Source organism: Homo sapiens, chromosome 11 (genome assembly GCF_000001405.40).
Source record: "Homo sapiens chromosome 11, GRCh38.p14 Primary Assembly".
In the NCBI taxonomy this organism is placed as follows: domain Eukaryota; kingdom Metazoa; phylum Chordata; class Mammalia; order Primates; family Hominidae; genus Homo; species Homo sapiens.
The window spans coordinates 30,868,553-30,889,711 of NC_000011.10; the positions used below are offsets into that span (position 1 = coordinate 30,868,553).

At 37.4% G+C, this 21,159-nt stretch overlaps 1 protein-coding gene and 1 long non-coding RNA gene across 15 annotated transcripts in view; one reads left to right on the plus strand and one right to left on the minus strand.

The window, feature by feature from the left end:
• Positions 1-21,159, minus strand: part of DCDC1 (doublecortin domain containing 1) — a 506,137-nt gene that overhangs the window by 4,950 nt on the left and 480,028 nt on the right. For 13 of the 14 annotated variants that reach the window (XM_024448478.2, XM_024448476.2, XM_024448475.2 and 10 more), the window contains 2 exons: positions 12,606-12,756; positions 9,992-10,159 (listed from right to left, as the gene is read on the minus strand). In XM_024448478.2, the coding sequence (XP_024304246.1) occupies positions 10,032-10,159; positions 12,606-12,756 (279 nt within the window). In that variant the 3' untranslated portion in view covers positions 9,992-10,031. Of the gene's footprint in view, positions 1-9,990; positions 10,160-12,605; positions 12,757-21,159 lie in introns of those variants that run through there. The other variant, XM_047426876.1, reaches the window with a different exon arrangement.
• LOC124902656 (uncharacterized) lies at positions 1,013-20,632 on the plus strand. Its single transcript, XR_007062643.1, has 4 exons — positions 1,013-1,505; positions 17,903-17,953; positions 18,745-18,838; positions 20,550-20,632. It is a non-coding gene; the product is annotated as an uncharacterized LOC124902656 (long non-coding RNA).

Below are 21,159 nucleotides of genomic sequence, written 5' to 3' on the forward strand. Positions count from 1 at the left end.
TACCTGCTCTATAGAGAGGGTGAAGTTTGCTCATCTGGGCCTGCAGCACCCAGGAGCTCCTGAAAGAGCTCATGGCAGTTTCAGAGTAGACAGAGGATGTGAGAAGCAGTGACTCTTGTTTGGAAATCTTCTAAATTGGCTGACTCCCATTTACATGCTGTTTCTGGCAGCAGAGATCAGTCTGGGTCACCTCTATGCTGCTGAGTAAATATGCTCAAAATTATTACTATTTCAGACAAATGTTTAACTGTTCTCAGATTATCTATAACACCCCAGGCCAAAGTCACAGCAATCTAACCTGGGAGTGAGTTTACTTTACTTTGTGATTTATGGAATGAGAATTCTGGGTGCTCTGTGGGACTAATTTAATACGAAACATTCAGATGTCTGTCTTATAATGCCATTCATCTTTCCTTAGCCTGCCTGCACCAGGGAGCATGTGGTTCAGAGAGCAGCCTCTCCCTTCTCAGCCACAAATCATCACGCTTGTGAAAGGGGGTGACAAGTCTTCCCTTCTAAGCCAGGCTGCCTGCAACAGAGGGTCTGTCTGGTCTCTGATGGAAGAAAAGTGTTTTCCACTCTTTCAGGCTGTTGGAGTGTTTTGAAAGGTACAGTTGGCAAAGTAGGATTCCTAGTCAACATTGCTTTGGTTTGCCTTTTGGTAAAGGGAATTTAGTCAGTCTATACTGTCTTATCAACAGGTGCAGATTTGTTTTATAAGAAGGCAATGTGATGTTCTATGGATTGACATAATGCACGTGAGAAGAAAGTTCTACAAAAAGCTAAACTCTGATTCAGTGTAGTACTTACATTTGAAAAGCAGATATTTCAATGCATGGCTAAAAAGGAACAAAAATAAAACTTTTTAAACCAACAAGTTACCCTAAATCTCACATTCATCCAACAAATATTCATGAACGCCTGCTATGTAGTAAGGGCTATTCAGGCACTGGGAACACAATTCTGAACACCCTACTTTCATGGAGTTTGCAGACCAGTGAGAGAAAGGGCATGTCCACAGTGGTAAGTCCTACAAGGGTGAGCAACAGGTACAGGGGGAGCACATGGAAGGAAGTTCCCCACACAGTCATATAAAATGACATGAGAAAGCTGCAGGAAGAAAATGTGCAAAATCATGGAAGTAAGAGAGAATATACAATCTTGGGGAATGGGGAAAAGTTTAGCATGGGTGGAGTGCAGAACTCTGTGAACAAAGGGCTGAGAACCCAGACTTCAGAGCCAGGGGACCTCCGGATTCCAAAGGCCTTTGGGCACAGGGGAGCGAGTTTGTCCTGCATTTTGATGGCAACAGAGGGCCACTTAAGCTCTTTAAGTGAGGAAGTGACATGATATGATTCTTATTCTAGAAAGATCATTCTGGCTACAACTTTGACAAAGAATTCGATAGAAGCAAGGCTCTGGGGGTGGGGGTGTGTGCAGTGACTAGTTGGAAAATCAGTGTTATTATACCAGTGAGTGATGGCAGTGGTCTGAAGTCAGATAGGGTAAGTAAACAACTTTGAAGTACTTACAAAATCCTATAAATGCATCCCATTTTACTCATATTAACAGTTGTATGTTTGTGCAAATGGAAATCAACCTCTGCCATCAAGTCATTTCCTGAGTGAGGCAGAGTCCTGTTGACCCTGGTATGTGCTGTTGCTGCGGTGCCTGTATTGCTGGTGAAAACTCCCTGAGACACCTCTTGAAGACACAGCTTTGGTTAAATGTATAGATGTGGCCCATATCAACCTTCCCATGGGAGCTGGGTGTTATCTAATGGATAACACTGCTCCATGGGTGTCCTAGAGAATAACGACTATTTCCAACTCAAAGCACAGCAGACCACTGTCACACCCAGTGAACAGAACTCATATTTTAACATTAGGAAAGCTGTTGGCAAGTCTGGCCTTTGAGAGTGAGGTAGTAGGAAACAAAGTCATAAAAATAAAAATTCACAATGGGATTTATCCTATCAAAATGACTACATTAAACGAGAGGCAAGGAAAGGTCTGACAAAAAGGGTTTGACACTGGAATTGATTTGAAAAAATTTCCTGAATGCCAATCAGAGTGTCTTGAGTTTTGCCAGTCTCTGCAACATCCACTTCTTTAGACAGACTTGATTATGTTCAGAAGTGTTACTTAAGATCTCAAATGGTATTCATCCTGATATTGTAATCAAAGTCACAGATTCTAACCTCAATTTTGTGTCAGCTGCTTAGAAAATAACATCAAGGTCACCCCACCAAAGTCAGTTTTAAGTGTATACCCAAGGGCAAGCCTCTCACTGACTGATTAGGAATAGTGACAGCCTAGCTGATTCTATTGCTAATTTCATTCCTCAGTAGTGAAGGGAGAAAAGAACCAAAACAATGGCAGAAATACATGTCTATACTAACAATGCCATGTCCACAGCTTCCTGAGGAAAGATCAGTCTACACTGTTCCTTACGTAGGGAAACTGTGCTTTGCATCATGTGTCCCTGACATCCTAATCTAAAGGAATGAGTAGAAGCCATCCATTCAACCTTCTGTTAGAAGACACAAAGAAAGTAGTTCAGATGGTACAGTGACCCTGAAGCCAAAATAAATATAAAGAGAAGGCAGGAAAAAATATAAACAGAAGCCGTTAAGCAACAGAAGCCATGAGTAGGTAGGTGCCATATCTTAGTGTACAACAGAAGAGCCCTCGGATAAGTAGAAAATTCACATGAGGACCAAGCACAGAGAAACAGGGAAGTCAAGAGCAGGAATGGCAGACTACTGGGGTGGCCACTGGGACCCAGACAGGCATGCGTCTTGAACAGAGGCCACCACGAAGCCTGTTTTCTGGGCTTTCCTGTGCTTCCTCTCTTCCTTGTTAATCCTCCCAACAAACCTCCATCACCAGAGGTAAACTGAGTGAGTCTCTGTAACTTGTAACTTGAACAAGCCTAACTTAATACACAATGTCTAGTCCAACATTCACATTTGTTCTCTTTACTGGCTTCCCACTGCACTATCTATCTATCTATCTCCCTCTCTATCTATCTTTTTATATAGCACTGATATTATTCCAGCTTGATATATATATCAAGCACTGATATTATTTCTGTGACCTTTAAAATAGCAAGATTTTATCAGCACTGAAGGTAGTTTAATTAACATGGAGAGCTTCAGTACCTCAAACCCACTTGTTTCGCCTTCCAATATCTGGGTCCTAGTTATAATCTCTGGGTGGTTAGTTCTGACTCAATAACATTTCCATTATTTCTAAGGGAATTATAGTGATAAAACATGAGTACACTTAGTGTATTAAGTACACTTAGACACACATATACATATGTATACATATATATACACATATATATACACACATATATGTACACATATATACATACACACACACATACATATATATACATTGCAGTGGGAAGCCAGTAAGAACTAATGTGAATGTTGGACTAGACATTGTGTATTACATTAAGCTTGTTCAAGTTATATATATAAAGTGCACTTATATATATATATAATCTCCCAACTCCTTAGCACTACGTACAAGGCCCTCATAATCAGGCCCATGCATGCCCCTTCAAGCTCATCTTGTGCCTGTTAGTCCAACATTCTAGGCCTAGCCAAGCAGTCATAACTATTGCATGCACCTTTGCATGCCCAGCAACTAAAACAGTCCTAGTGCCATTTTTTGTTGTTGTTGTTTTGTTTTGTTTTTTGTGAATTAGTTCTTTTAAGAAAAGTAGCCATGAAGTACTTGAAATACAGCTAGTCTGAATTGAGATGTGCTGTAAGTGTAAAATACACACAGGATATGGAGACCTTAGAACAGTAACAAAGAAATATGCCTCAATAATTTTACATTGATGATATGTTGAAATGCTAATACTTTGGATATATTGAGTTGAATAAAATATGGTATGAAAATGTATTTCACACATTTCTTTTAACTTTTCTAAAAATGTGGCTACTAGAAAATTTCAAATTACTCATGTGGCTCCTGTGATCTTTCTGTTGGACAGTGGCTACTTTGGACCTTCCTTTGGTAGCTTGAGCATGCCACGCTCTTTCCTGATTCTCACCTCTGCCTGGTACTCCGTTCCCTACGACAACCCTCATTCTGCTTCTTTCCATTTGCAATGGCTGATTCATTCTTGTCTTTTAGCTTAACTCACTTCCTTATATAAGGCTTTAAACATGCCGTTCATTAAGTATGTCACCCCTACCTCCCCTCCAGTAATTCTCTAACTGAACTTGGTTTCCTTCATAAGACTTAACACAATGTGTAACTATTTATTGCACATAATTATTTTATTTGGGTATTTAACTTCTAAATGCCTCTCCTCCCCAGCACACAGCATGAGCCCCACGGGGACAGGGATCACATCTGTCACATTCACCTCTGCATGCCCAGCACCTAGAACAGTGAGTGCAGTGACTGCCTGAATATATATATATATAAATATATATTTTTCATGTATATATATATTCATGCATATACCATGTATATACAAGCTGGTCTCTCTCTCTCTCTGTCTCTCTCTCTGTCTCTCTCTGTCTCTCTCTCTCTCTCTCTATCTTCTGCATATATATACACACGCACAGTTTTAACATTGGGAAAGCTGTTAGCTGGGCTAGCTTAGAGGGTGGGGTAGTAGAAGATAGAGTAATAAAAATCAAAATCCACAATGGGATTTATCCTATCAAAATGACTACACTAAACAAGAGGCAAGGAAAAATTTAAACTTTTATATTTGTATATAAAAATGTATAAATATATAAAAATGTGTGTGTATATACATATATATATATATATATATAGAGAGAGAGAGAGAGAGAGAGAACAAACTGGTATATACATGAATTAAGTGTTAGAAAAACTAATTTTCTTTGTATTCTCTGTTTTCCAAGGAAAGTGTCTGTCTTCCAAGGAGAGTGTCTGTCTCTCAAGCTATATGGATTTCATTGGTCTGGCAAGAGAACTATCTTGAAAATTCATTTTTCTAAGAGAATTTGTTACCGAACTGAAATAACGTCCTGTGGATTTTCACACTCTTGGGTGAGCCTGCCAGGGATGCAGGTGCTCACACTTCCTTGCTAACTAGACTTAGGGCAAACAGAAAAGAGATGTTCAAGTAGCTCCTTCACAGGAGAAAGAGCAATGATGGAAAATAGAAATCCTCTCCTTGTTCCAAAGCTCTCCTTCTTTGTACATATAAAAATGTATAAGAAAACTCCAGGAAGCTGGTTATTTTCCCCACCCTCAAAAGTACTCCGCTCCCTGATATATGTACCACAGCACTGATATTATTCCTGTGACCTTTAAAATAGCAAGATTTTATCAGCACTGAAGGCAGCTTAATGAACATGGAAAGCTTCAGCACCTCAAACTCACTTGTTTAGCCTTCCAATGTCTGGGTCCTAGTTAAAATCTCTGGGTGGTTATATCTGACTCAAGAACATTTCCATCATTTCTTAAGGGAACTGTGATGAGAAAACATGAGGCTACTTAGACTCAAATACTCACATACAAAGCAAATGTTTCATTGTCTTCATAGCCCCTGAATACAGGCTTTGTTCTTAAAACTGGTACTTACCACTTGGGCCATGCCCTGCTGATAATAAACAGCACTGTCCCTGGCAGGCCTAAAACTCTTGGCAAAGTTTCTTACACTGTGGTCACGACGTGCTTCTTCCCAGGTGCTTGTTAAAATGCAGATTCCTTATACCTTAGGCATAGAGATTATGACCAGTGCTGGGACCAAGCCTGGAAATCTGTATTTTATCTAGCACACCAGGTGTTTCTTGTGCACACTCAAATTTGAGAATCATATTAAGGAAGTATCTCTTGCCAATACACAAATTGTTCCAGGAAACAGTTTTTTCTTTTTAAATGAAAGATGGGATTTAAAGACTCTTAGAGGAGAAAAGCCAGGAAGACGGGAAAAGGCCAAGAGGCAGGGAGGAAGAGGGAGGAGGGAAGAGGGAGAAAAAGTAATGGAAATGAGAACAGAGATATAATCAGATTTTAGATTTTTAGAGGCACTAACCTAGGAGCCCTGGGAAGTTCCCTCCTCTCCTCCACCTCTCTCCAGCATAGTCACTGAGTAAAGGACAGTGCCCTTCAGGAAATTTCCTTTAAAACACAGCTTCCAGTGGTGGCACCAGAGATGACCACCGAACTGCCTCAGCTGGTCTCACACAGCTGACATTCCTGAGCATGTGCACCTGAGCTAAAACCCTAATATCAGTTTCCTACATTGAAATTACTGCTCTAGGACTGGCAAGCTAGGACCTGATAGGTCCAACAGCTCGACTGAAGCTTGTATCTGCCTGCAAGCCCACAGAGGGATACCACAGACAATGAGCAATAGCACATCCAATTCAGAATCACCATTTTACTTGCCATAGATATAGAATTTCTCGTCTCCTTTCTTCCTCTCTCCTTCAACCCAGTTGCACTATGGGCATATGTATTTCCTCTCTCATATATTTCTATTTATACATTTGGTACAGGGTGACAGCCTTGATAGTAGTTTCATATTCCAGACTCGTAGAATTAGAAAATGTTATAGCTGCCAGCAGGCACCCACTGAATACCTACGGTTACACGGTCAGTCCATTTATTTTCATCAGCTTTCTCCTGAGTGGTCTTTGTTGATCTTGCTTTGTAGTTGCTTATGGCCACACAGCCCCAAACCATGCCATTTATGCAGAATTCTAATTTACTGTGTCGAGAACAAAACTGTTACTCTTTCATTCTACTTACCTAGCCTCGTAGAGGGGACACGGGGTTGAGATATTTTCAAAGCCAGGAGGGAACCAGAACCAGCGGTTCAATAGAAACAACTGAGAGTCACCACTGAGTCTAAATTTCCCATAACTGGGGACATTTGCATCTGATTTTGTGATGTACTAGAATAACGCAGATTTGTGTGTTTTGATCATTCGCTTCCAAATGACGCAGATTTGTGTGTTTTGATCATTCGCTTCCAAATGATGCAAAAAAAAAAAATGCTGCCATGGTGAATCACAAATCTCTCAATGGCACTCAGCACACCTGGGCTATTATTGAAGGTTAGCTCACAAATGCTTCAACAGCCACGAGCCACAATTTCTAAGTGAGTCTCTGACAAAAGAGAATATATTTATATTTATCCTTCTGCTGTCATTTGTTTGATTGTTGCTTTGTTTTCTTAATTAGGGAAACAATATTTAATTATGATAAACAATCAAGGAAAAAAACAGAGATTTAGGGTTATTGCCCTTCAAAGCTACCTTTGCATTTTGAATCATTACTAATATATCCTGTTTTACAAAGCTGACATAAGCATCCAGATAAAATGCTTCTTATTTATAAATACTGTTAGTTATTCTCAGAAAGACTGCCAGACTTTCAGGCATATTGCTTTTAGTTTACTTGCTTAGAAACATTGCAACTTTACCCTAACACTTAATCAGATTACGAAAGCTAGAGCGATGGGCAGAAAAATTCAGTTCTCCTGAGGAAAATCCCAAATGCTTCTACACTGTTGATTAACATCTGGATCACCTTAAGGGTGTTTGTGAACTATCAGGAAATAAATTTTTGGAGTAGGCCATGGACTTAGGGATGGTTGCTTTAGTATTTAATAATAAATTGTTTTCAGTTGATAGAAAAATACTGAAATCTGACTTACATATATGAGGCTGATTCAAATTTGATAAACATGTTCCCAAAGGAAATTACTGCATTTATTAAAAGCCTAGATGGCTGAACAGATTTGCAATGGTCTTATCCTATATTCCTTGCTGAAGGTAGAGAAACTGTTCCCCAGTCCACCTTGCAGCCAACCAAAGAGGAAGGTCAAGAGTAAGGAAAGAGCAGGGCTGTTTTTAGTCTAAGCTAAAAGTGGCTATGAACTACCAAGATACCCAGGGCTAGCTGTCATCTACAAAGTAAGTGTCGCTGCCTTGCTGGTAAAATGTGATGTGTTGATGACTGTTACATTACATCTAAAATCCCATTTACTAGTAATAGAAAAGTTCAGTTAAGACTTTTGCCTTATGTCTCCTGATGCTTGATACAGCGTTGTGTGATATTACCAATTTTCGCTTCAGGCGTATTCACATGCAACAGTGATGACTTCACAAGAATTTGCACATTTGATCCAGGGTGAAATTATGCCATTTTCATAGCAAATCAACTTTTCCCTGGCAGGAAAGTGATAGGTACTTTTGCACCTAGAGAGATGTCTTTGTTTTCAAGGAATGAAAACAAAAAATTGTCTATAGAAGGATTGTGATTGAGTCATTCTAGGGAGAGGCCCAGTTGGCAAGAGTCCTCTTGGCTCCCTTTCCAACGGGGAGCAAGTTTCTTAACCCTTCTTGTTTTGACTTTCTTGCTTAAAAAAAAAAAGAAAAGGCAAAACAGAAGTCACATGCAATCTTTTTCTCCTATATGGCACACAGATGCATTGGAATACCTTCACATCTCTAACATCACACAACACATAGAGAAAATGTCTGTAAAAGGGCAAATTGCTGTTGATGTAACATGTGAAATTTCACCTCAATGTGCTTTGCTTTTAGTGGTGTCAGAGGCAGCAGGAATTTATTCATGCAGCCCTACTGATTTGCAGACTGGGAGTAAATACTAGGCCTTTTGCAGCGATTACCAAGAGCCCCCTTCAGTAGAAATGATATACTGCCTTCCTGCATCACATTAAAGTGGAGGATTGAGAAGTGAACCCAGCTGAGCCATTCTGTACACACCTAGCCAGAGTACAATTTATATTCATACAGAGTTGTGAGTGGTTTTCAGAGGAACACTGGGAAGAAGAGCATTTCTCTGGAAATTTTTCACCAAAAGCAGAAACTAAACTCTGATTTGTAACTGCTATTTTTTTAATGGTTCTGTCTTCTTCTTGTAAATTCTTCCCTACCTGTAGGATTAATACCTAAGATTGCTAGGGATCTCCCTTGATTTCTTTTCAAAAAATAAACCTTCCATAATTTTTCTTTTAAATAGTGCATATATCCTTTCCCTAAGTTTTTGAATTGAGGACACAGTCTATGACTTTTGATCACTGGGCACATATTGGGAATTGCCAAGCTTTACTCTCATGAACAGAATCTAACTGTACCCCATAAAAGGTCCTGCACTGTTACTACAGGTGAAACTGATGAGAAATTGAAGAAGAAAGCATTGATTTGTGTGGCATTTGGTGGCCACCAGCCATTTCATTTGTATTCAGTATATTAAGGATTTTAATACAGAGGTTTGGAAAATATCGTGGCTGAGCCAGAAAATGTCAGCTAGGGTCAAATTTAGTGTCTAGTGGTCAGAGTCTTTTTGTATTATCAAAACATTCCATATATGGAATATATTTTCTATTCCATATATGGAATGTTTGATGGAATGTTCGATTATATATAAAAAGTATTTTACATAAGCTATTTGATCCTGTGAAATTATATTTCACTAATGACTAGTAGTTTCCTTCTTTTCTTGGAAGAAAATCCACCGAAGATAGTTATTTTGCTGGCATTATTTTGTCTAGTTTTGTTGCCTTTCCAGGAACAAACTTGAGGCATCAAATGTCACTTTATGTAAAATGCGGAGGGTAATAACCTTCAAAAAAGATCGCTGGGTGCAGTGGCTCATGCCTACAATCCCAGCACTTTGTGATGTCGAGGTGGGAGGATTGCTTGAGCTCAGGAGTTCAAGACCAGCCTGGGCAACAAGGCAAAACCCCATCTCTAAAAAAAATATAAATATTAGCTGGGTGTAGTGGTGCATGACTGTAGTCCCATTTACTTGGGAGGCTGAGATGGGAGGATCACGTGAGCCCCGGGAGGTCAAGGCTGCAGTAAGCTGTGATTGTGCCACTACACTCCAGCCTGGGTGACAGAGCAAGAACCTGTCTCAGAAAAGAAAGAGGGGGGAACTGCATGAAAATAAAAGAGATAAATAATCATAATGTCATAACAAACATGAGTATGTGCACATAGCTATACCAGAAAAATACAGCAGAAAATCCGATGGTTCTGATAGGAGTTAATTGTGGAGATGTGCCAGAGACAGCAGCTTCGTGGATGGTGACACCACAATGTCTGTGGCTTGAGGGCCCTGCTGCCTTCGGATTCTGGCATAATTTGCTCTGATCTCCATCAGTTGTTTTAACTCTGTTAAAAAAAAAAAAAAAAGAAGTTGAGAGACAAGTCAATGTTATAGAAAATAATTAAAAGTCCAGGATGATGAAAAACTTGAAGACCCCTCACAAATCCTTGGCTCCCACCCTGGGCTCTCTCATTACAACTTTGACTTCTTATCACATGAGATATATTGTTAATAGTCTTTGGATTGCTAGAGAATGGAAGTTGCTAGAGAGGACTTCTTTCCAGGTTTATTACAAAGCCTGAATTGGAAGCTAACCTAGGGCTGGTCTAAAAATTGCACCCACTGAAAAGACAGAAAGCAGCAGTGAGAACAGTGTTCAGATTTTATGGCAAATGGCATAAAACACTCTTTTAATTTTGTCAGGGGTTTGTGTGAAAGAAGCCATTCTAATAGCTTCTGGTTTGTTTTGCAAAATCCAATTGATTTTTTAAAAAACCCGAAGTGATTCTTTGATGAATTTCACATACTAAATGTTTTTTGATATTATAATGCATAAAATAAGTTATCATAGAGTGCTTTTGAAACTCCCAGACTGCTTTATTTTCTTCCTACATACTTAAGCCAGTAGGTCACAGAAACAGCATGAGTGGAATGATTAAGTAAATGTCCCTTAATGGGTATAGGCATGTAGTTGCATTTCTATCTTTTCTTTTTTAAAGCATTCTGAATATTTAGATTTCTAATAAATGAGTATTACTTACTTAATGGCAACAATAAAATAAGTTTCTAAAGAACGACTAAATCAGACTTTCTGCGATCAGAGATTTCCTGTATCCTGGAACATATATAGCTCATTGGAAAGAACTGAGACAATAGGAGGAAACCACTAATCCTTTCACCATGAAGGTAACATGGGGAACCTATTGTCATAGGAAAGAAATAAACTTTCATACGATGGTAATCTATGTATTTATAAAATTGAAGATGCAAAAATGAACATTTGTCTCCATAGCTTTATCAAAGATACACAGAGCTAACATGGAGGAAAATGGTAGAAAGAGCAATATTTGCATTTCCAATATTTTTTCTCTTCCAGTCACAGTTTTTATTGTTGACAAGCTTGTTTCTGGGAAGGCAGCCAACATCTCTCTTTGTCGTTGGATACCCTTTTGGCTAGCTTGCCTGAAGCATATTTAGCTTTATTTATCACACAGGCTCAACGGACACAATACTGCAAGAAAGGTGTGGTACAGGCAACAGAAACCCATCCCAGGAATATCGAAGACTAAGCCTAGATAATGAAGGGACTGGGAAGGTACCTCCTACTGCACACGTTTGCTCACTATTCGATTGTATTGTAATTATTTCACGTGTGTTCATATTTTTAATTAGATTGAAAACTCTCAGAAAAGGAGCCTAGCTTATGTTTATTTTATAACCTACAAACTGGGGATACAGAAAGCTATTGACTAATACTTACTGATAATAAGAACCTCATCATTCGTGTGTTCTTCTAAGTACCCATGTAGTGAGGGTCACCAAGAGCCAGGGTGAAGGGTAGTGATGGGTGATGGGAACAGCAGAAAACAAAGAATAAAAGGACTGGCACCTCATCCATAATGTAGGATGGTGCAGGAGGAATATTTGTGGCTTCCCTCAGAACAGTGCTAGGCATCCTAATAAATCCCGTCTCCCTACTTTTTGGTCTCCATTTCTATCCTTTTGTCCCTTCTGGGCTAAATGTAAAGATAGAATTGCAACTGTTTTAGAAGTTTTTGGTTTGCCTACATTACATACAACATAGTAATAATAATTTTATGGTGACTTCTTAAAAGAAAATATCTACTATTACCAACATAGGGATGCCAGGCAATTCATTACCTAATCTTTTAGTTTCCTTTAGAGTGATAACAGTGTTCTTCGGAATCTCCTGAAAATTATATCTTTGCTAATATATACCTACCTACAAATACTGGCTTTAACTTCATCAGGATATATAGGATAAAGAACTAGAGTTCATTCAATAACAAATATATGTCCTTTTCAATTTCTGTCATTTATCAAAGAAAATGACCAACGAATAGACAAGATAATAACTCTAGAAAATATTTACTTATTACTAAAGAAAAGAAACTGCAAACCACATAATTACTATTAATAAAACATTAAGTTTTAAGTAATTTGAAAAATAGGAAATTAGTGGAGCTTCACTTTCCTCAGGGTTCATACTAGGGGAATACCTTCAAATGAGGCTCTCAGTATTTCTGCAAATAAGCCCCCTGGATAAGGTTCAAGATTAACTGAAATGCGATTGAATTCTCCAGAGCAAACAGTGTTAACACGAGGTTCCAGCACATAAATATATAAATTTAACTTCCATAACATGGAGTAGAAATGCTTGGGAGGGGATAATTATTAAAAATCATTGTGATGGGATATAAGCTCTTCCAAGAGAAGATTGAATGCTTTAATTCTTCAAAGACTTGATGGAAAAGAAACTATCATGCATACCTTTTGGGGTTTTGAAACCATGTCCCATAGACACACAGATGACCATATCTCGCTCTATGTCGTCCCAGGACTGAATTGGCTCTCCACTGGGGGTGTACAGTGCTCTAGCTGGGTGGGTCATTTTGAGACGAGAGGAGCAGTCTTGCAGCAGCTGAGACACAGAGGGACAGCCACATTTGAATACGGAATGGCACAATATGATCATGTATCAAAGAACCAACTCTTCTGAGAAAACTATTATCCCAGTTTGATTATTTGCCCACTGATAGTTGTTAGACATTCGTATAGAAGAGATGGGAAGAAGGGCATGCAAATGTTCCCTAAAGTGCTTAAACAGTGAGGAGCTTCAGGACTCTCCGGTGAAGCTTACCTTGTAGTTCCGTATTTTTTCATGGAATAAGGCTTCTCGCTATTTAAGAAATTCCTAAATATGATAAAAACTGGATTGAAAATCTAGACTTCTCAAATTAGCTAAAAACAATTTTTTTTAGTGACCAAGGAACTTGAATGACAAAAGGTGAGGAGACCCAGGCTCTGGCCTCTTTGTTACTTCAGACAGGTAACTTTGCTTCAAAAGAGTCTCCTCAATGATAAAATGAAAATTTTGGTCTAAGACTTCACTGGCTCTATGATTCTATAGTTAAAAAGTCTTTTGTTTTCAACTGATACATTTTAAAGCTTCCTAGAGAGGCCTTATTAAACTTCTCTCAATTTATCTTGAATACTTACTCACAAAATCACATGTAGAGATACAGTGTCAATGGTACTAGAAAGATTAGTCAACATGCTGCCAGACCCTTGAAGGCAATTCCATTAAAATGTGAATAAAACTTTAAGACAAAATAATAAAAGCAAGCAGGAAGAAAGTGAGAGGTTTCTACATACCTGCCTGTATGGCTTTCACCTATTAGAGGGCCAAAAGCCTGTTCCCCCAAAATGCAGGTGCCAAGTCCACATCAGCCCTCCAAATCACCATCAATACTTCTGTTTATAGATCTGTTTAGATGCTACAACTCACAACAAGGCAGAATGGCAGGGGTCAGGGCTGGGCATGTGATGACACCTTGCATCTGGCAAATGCATCAGGAATATGAGCCAAGACAAGAAGAGTGATGGGGCGATGCAGTTCAAAAAGCGCAGCTTTTCACCCAGTATTTTGAGTAAGGGATGAGTGGATTGAATTTAATAATAATTCAAATTATCCAAAAATATATTCCCCTCTATAGAATAGGATAGTCAGAGAGGACCAACAGGAGAGTAGTCTTTTTTTAATGTTATCTATTTTTATATATTTTTTTATCATACTTTAAGTTCTAGGGTACATGTGCACAATGTGCAGGTTTGTTACATATGTATACATGTGCCATGTTGGTTAAATGCAGCCCTACTCCTGCCAAATACCATCCAGTCAGAAGCAATTTGATTAAATACTCTGCATACAAACCAATCCTTCAACCTACCATTGAGGGAGGATTCTGACAGCTCCCAAGTAGATGTCTAGGGTCACCAAAGAGAACTAACCTATTCTGTCTGTTATCAAAAGATCTCTCCTTGTACAAGGAAATATAAATAGAAAAATCAACAATAGCAACAATGTAAAGCTAATGAAAATATTCTACAACATAAAAAAAGGGTACATTGTACTCAAGGTGAAGATTTTGAAAAAGATTTACAGCAGGAGTACATTTTCAAAAGTATCTGTGTTGTGTTACCCCTAAATTCAAAAAATATGACTTCTGTGTGTAAATATACTCACAGATACACACAGAAACGAGACAACCACAGCTTAAAGGAAAGGAGTATTGCTCAGATACAGGAGAGATGCTGAGGCTGCTGATAACAGTAATACTGATTAAAACATATTGACACATTTCTAGGGACTGGGTATTTTTCTAAAAGTTCTCAAGAACAATCTAATTTTGTTCTGTGGAAATAATTAGTATCCACCTTTTGTTGATGAGAAAAATGGAGAACAAAGAGGTTAAATATAATAACCAAAGTTGTATAGCTGCTAGTGAGAGAAGAAATAGGGTTTCAAGTGAGGATGAAGAGAGAGCTGAATGACAAGAGGAGAGAAGGTAAGAAAGAAAAAAGACTCAATATTACAGAAATTCAAATCATTATTAGGGCAGACTAGGTGGAGAAGATCTCACAGGATACAGAAAAAGGAAAAGAGACAAAGTGTATGAGAGAGAAAAGTCAAACATTTATAATGTCAAGACATCAGATATTAAACCTATACATTATTGGTGTTACTGGAGAGGAATCTAGAATACATTAACCTTAAGCAGTTATCAAAAAATAGAAGAAAACTTTCCTGCTCCAAATAAAGATCCATGTCTTCAGATAAAGTAAGCTGACCTAGGATAAGGCAAAGTTTATGAACAATATGACTAAGATTTAAATATTACAAAGCAAAAAGTGTGGATTTCAAGCATGGGAGAAAAATTCAGTTATATTTACACTTCGTTTTCTGTAACACTGAATACCAAAGAAAATGAAGCAAAATCTATGAAGTTATGAAGTTTTTAGGGGAAAAGATTTTAATATAAGAATTCTATATCCAGCCAAGTTACAATTTATGGTTAAAAGAAACAAATGATGTCCTCCAGTATACAAAACCTCAGAAGACATATCACACACAAATATTTCAGATTATTAAGAAATGAATCAAATTTCTTGACTAAGGGAAAGTCATAATATAAAATGACTAATGTTAAGCACTAAGACTATCAGAACATGATACGCCTGCTACAAAAGTAATCAGAAAATAAATGAATTAAAACTTTAAAAATAAGTCTTCATAGAGAAAAAAAATGTGAAACGACCAAAAAAGGAGGTGGGCAAGAAAAAGAAAACCAAAGCATTCTTTCTCATTTTTTTTTTTTTTTGAGACAGGGTCTCACTCTGTCACCTAGGCTGGAGTGCAGTGGCATGATCAGGGTTTGTAATGAAGCCTCGACTTCCCTAGGCTCAGGTGATCCTTCCATCTCAGTCTCCCGAGTATCTGGGACTACAGGCGTGCACCACCATGTCCGGCTAATTTTCGTTTTTGTAGAGACAGGGTTTCACCATGTTGCCCAGGCTGGTCTCAAACTCCTGGGTTCAATCAGTCCCCCCACCTCAGCCTCCCAAAGTGTTGAGATTACAGGCATGGGCCAATATACTCGGCCTTCTTTCTTATCATTCATGAAGATAAAAGATGTTTTCCTCTCTTTTTTTTGTTACGAATTTTTTTTATGATTATAAGCAACGCAATTAAACATAAAATCAGAATAAGAGAAACAGTTCCTTTAAAGGAGTAAGCAAAATCACCATCATGTGAATTTAATACGACTTCATTCTTAGAAAACTTAGGTGAATCAAATGAGAAATTAACAAAAATAAAAGCAAAGTGTCCAAATACAAAATAAATGTTAAAATATTAATAGTTTACCTGTTCACTGAAAATAGGCATTTTGAAAATACAGTGGGAGAAAATCTATCCCCAAAACAAAGATCAACTAGAAATAACAATTATTTAAAAATCTAAGACCCTTGTAAACAAAAAAACTATAAAATTTTGCTGATGGACAAGAAAAAAAGTATACATAAGTCTTTTTTACATATACTAAAATAAGCATATTTTAGTATATGTAAAAAAATACAAAAATAAAAGAATACCACAGCCTAGTTGCAGAAATTGAATAAGGTAAAAGGTGTAAATTCTTAGGAAATTAATTAATAGTCTAATACAACTTCAGTCAAAATCCTATAGGATGATTTTACGATGTTGAACTGTAATTCCAAAATTCATCTTTAAAAATCAACAGGCAAGAATATTCAAGTAAAATCTGACAACAAAGTGCAACAATGAGCAACTTCTTTAAGACATTAAAATATAAATCTATATAATTTAAAAAGTAATACATACTTTACATAACTTAAAAGCAGAAGCTAGTATATGTAAGATTTTAGCATAACATTGGTATTCCAACTCAGAGGGGAGGGAAAAAATATTAGTCAGTGAATAGAGCTGAGATAATTTTAAGCAAACAAATAAAGCAGAGAAAATAGCTTCACTCAAATTTTACACCAGAAAAAGGAAAAAAAAAAGGAAAAGTAAGATAAAAACACAACTGCAAAAAAATTAGATGAAAAAGCAGGTGAATCTTTATATGACCTCAGAATGATAAAGGACTATCTGAACATTAAGAGAAATGAATAAACTTATAAAATGTATTACTTTCTATACATTAAAAAACTCCATAGACACAATAGTAAATTGGAAATTTCTTACAACAAATCTAATAAAGTTACATGTAATACCCTTACTACTTAATAAAATGCTTTTATCAATATGAAAAATATATATAATAGAAAAACAGCAAAAGACTTAGGGAACGCAGAGATAACCAATAAGTGATAACACAAAACAAATCAAATTCACCTCAACAAGTAATTAAAAATATATAAATTGAAATATGGGTATAACATTTTTCTTCTGTCGAACCTGCAAATATGTTTTTAAATTTTGTTGCAGTGCTGTTGATATCTTCATGTATACAACAGGTGGATGGATGAGAATTCTCAATATCTACCTATGGGAGCATAAATTCTTGAAACATTCCTAGAAAACAATTTGGTGACAGGTATCAAAATTCTTAGGCATGTTTATTAACATGACCTAGCAATCCCTCTAGGAATTTACTTAAGGAAAATAATCAGAAAATAAATATAGACTGATGTATCAATATGTTCATTGCAGCACTCTTCATAATAGCAAAAAATTAAGAACAACCAAACTGGCAAATAATAGAAAACTGGTTGAATAAATAATACATCAATTTGATAGAAGGTTATGACGCCGTTGAAAATAATGTTTTTTTAAGAATGTTAAATTATATGGGGAAAAAGTGGCAATAAGTGAACAGACCAACTTGTAAAATTGTATATACGTGTGATCTACTATGATCACAAAGGAAAAAAAAATTATCATTGTTTAGAAATATATACACCAAAATTGTAATAACTAGTTATTTGTGGATGATGTAATTTTCATTTCCTTCTTGGTGCTTTTATCCTTTTTCTAATTTTAATACAATGACTACATGCTGTTTCCTAAATAGAAAACAGAATAAATGTTATTAAGATAATAAAAAAATTCATAGAGATCATTTTCAAAAAGAGATTGCAGTAGATTCATATGGTTTTATTTTATTATTTTTCTAAATTCTCTATAATAATAGTCACTACTTTGGTCTGCTCAGGCTGCCACAAACTGGGTGGCTTAAACAATGAGAATTTATTTCTTGCAGTTCTGGAGTCTGGGAAGTTGAAGATCAAGGTGCCAGCAGATTCAGTTTCTGGTGAGGAATCATTTTCTAACTTGTAGACAGCCATCTCCTTGTTGTGTCCTGATATGGCAGAGAGAAAGAGGTCTCCCTCTCTCTTCCTCTTCTTATAAGGCCATTAATTCTATTGGATTAATGTTCCACCCTTAAGACCTCATTTAACCTTAATTACCAACTAAAAGCCTTATCTCCAAATATAGTCACACTGGGGTTTGTGTCTTCAACATAAATTTTGGGGCACAATTCAATCCATAGCAGTCACTATTTTTTTTTTTCTACTCCAAGGAAACCAAAGGGTATGGCAGTTGAGTTTCTATCTGGAGTGGGAAAAATGAGGAGCTATATAGAGATAGGCATCTGAGAGAAATTTATGTAGTTTGAAAAGATCCCAGAAAGACATATTTCTTATATTTTTCTTTACCACTAAAATGTCACTATTCTATAGAGATCATGTTTTCTACTTACAAACAGAAAAAAATATATAAATAATTTAACTAAAACATACTTTAAAGGCAAAATATAAATTCAATCTATGGTTATTTTACTTGGTTTCTCCTAAGACCTATTTGTATGTAAAGTCAATAAATTTAGGAAAAAAAAATTAAATATGAAAATAAAGCATTTTCTCTGTTGTAACTAATGAAATGCTGTCCCTTGAAGGAGATAATGACATATCATGCATGGAAGAAATAGACTAAGCTCTGGCTGAAGAACGACTTGTATTCATGTTCAATATTTTATCTTCATTCTCTCTGATAATATATTTTCAATGACTTTTTTCCTTTATTTTGGTTAACATTAAAAAGAGATATAAGGCATGACAACAACTCCTTTAAGGGGAAGATAAGATATCTTTCAACTTCTACTTGCGATGCTGTGATGCTTTAGGCACTAAAGCAGGTTAGTAATGCTTTTTTAGTTTTAAATTGGCTTCTTTTAACAGATCAACGTAATGTGTGCTGTGAGATGTATGTAGCCTAACGTTAACTTTGAGGTCTAAAGTGTTCAAGCCAGATTCCTTAGCAGACCAAATATGTTGGCATTGAAGTGTTCTGAAATATACCTTGATGTCTAGAAGTAAGGTATTTGTTAGTCTTCTAGGATCTACTTTTTAAACTTTCCATACCCTGTGGTTGCCAATTCTGCACGTACTAGTCCACTAGAAATAAGTATGTTAAACAGAAGCAACTTAACGTAACTCTCCACAGGGCTTATTTCTCAAAGAAAAGTATTGTTTGGCCAGGTGTGGTGGCTCATACCTGCAATCCCAACACTTTGGGAGGCCAAGGCGGGGGGATCACTTGAGGTCAGGAGTCTGAGACCAACCTGACCAACATGGTGAAACCTCATGTCTACTATAAAGACAAAATTAGCCAAGCATTGTGGTGCAAGCCTGTAGTCCCAGATACTTGGGAGGCAGGAGAATCACTTGAACCCAGAAGGTGGAGGTTGCAGTGAGCTGAGATCATGCCATTGCACTCCAGCCTGGGCAACAAGAGCAAAATTCCGTCAAAAAAAAAAAAGAAAGAAAGAGAGAGAGAGAGAAAGAAAGAAAGAAAGAAAGAAAGAAAGAGAGAGAGAGAGAGAGAGAGAGAAAGAAAGAAAGAAAAAGAAAGAAAGAAAGAAAGAAAGAAAGAAAGAAAGAAAGAAAGAAAGAAAGAAAGAAAGAAAGGGAAAGAAAGAAAGAGAAAGGAAGGAAGAGAGAGAAAGAAAGAGAAACAAGATTGTTTAGAGGAGCAAAATTACAGGCCTACCTACGCATCTTGTAAAGCTGTTCAAAAAGTAACTCAGTGAGGCTTGTGCCTGGAAATGTAATGCCCAAGTCACATTCTGCTCTAAAAGAATGTAACAAATACAGATGAGTTAAAAAGAAAAAAATAGACGTTTTCAGTACAATTAGGTTCTAAGATATCTAGTCATATTATGACCTTTAAAGACAGTCTTAGGCTGGGCACGGTGGCTCACGCCTGTAATCCCAGCACTTTGGGAGGCCGAGGCAGGTGGATCACCTGAGGTCGGGAGTTTGAGACCAGCCTGACCAACATGGAGAAACCCCATCTCTACTAAAAATACAAAATTAGCCAGGTGTGGTGGCACATGCCTGTAATCCCAGCTACTCAGAAGGCTGAGGCAGGAGAATCGCTTGAACCCAGGAGGCGGAGGTTTCAGTGAGCTAAGATAGCGCCATTGCACTCCAGCCTGGGCAACAAAAGTGGAACTCCGTGTCAAAAGGAAACAAACAAAAAACAAAACAAAACAAAAGAGACATTCTTAATTCTGTTTTTCAAATGTATCTAAATTTACTCAAGTATTCTCTTTAAAGTGTATACTATAAATTAAATGTTTTTGCAATAACAAAGTTCATGATGAAGAAACACTGTTCTATAATAATTGCTCACCCACAGTCTATTTTCTGAGTTTTGTTTTCATAGACCAGGTCTCCTCAGGTGGGGCACATGGGCATCATGGAACTATTGCACACTCCCTGTGGGCGTGAGGTACTTGCCTATCCAAATCAGAAGGACCTCTTTTTCATTCCTTGAGCTTCTGCTCATGCATTCAGAACCATTCCTAGGCCAAGGAAGAACACTCTGATTTTGAGATTCTGTAGAATTAGAGAGCTGCTGCAGGAATGGGAGAAGACAAACGCTTCAGGACCATAGAAGGAGGGGCACAGGCAATCATAAATCAGAGAAAGATGCTGGTCCTGCAGAAAGAGCCACTAACCCTGGAGAGAGAGCCGCCTTGGTGCATTGATGACTGATGAGCCGACAACAGTTGGAGATGAGAGTAAGTCTAGCAATGTTCAAAGAGTGGGTGGGAAGAACATGGCTAAATCATCCAGAATAGCCACAGCAGTGAAAGCAGTTGAGAGAAAGTCCACATTGGATGGGATTCAAATACCATCTGGGGGTTTCATTATAGAAGGTATAGAGAAGCACTTTGAAATGTGATCTGTTTCTCATTCTTCCAGCAAAAGTCTCAAACACTGAAACTCTGAGCTTCTTTGGAGTCACTGTCATTAGCCAGACACCCCCAGTGAAATCCAAACCCTACCCTTCCTGCTGCCTGTTCATTTCTCACACACAGTCCATCCTCCAGAGGTATTTTATACAGCCTGACAGCGTGAAAGGATACATTCCTAACTGATGACAAAGAATCGCATGCAAGCCCGTAAAGACAAAAATACACAGCATGGAAAAGGAAGAGATTCGAAGTTT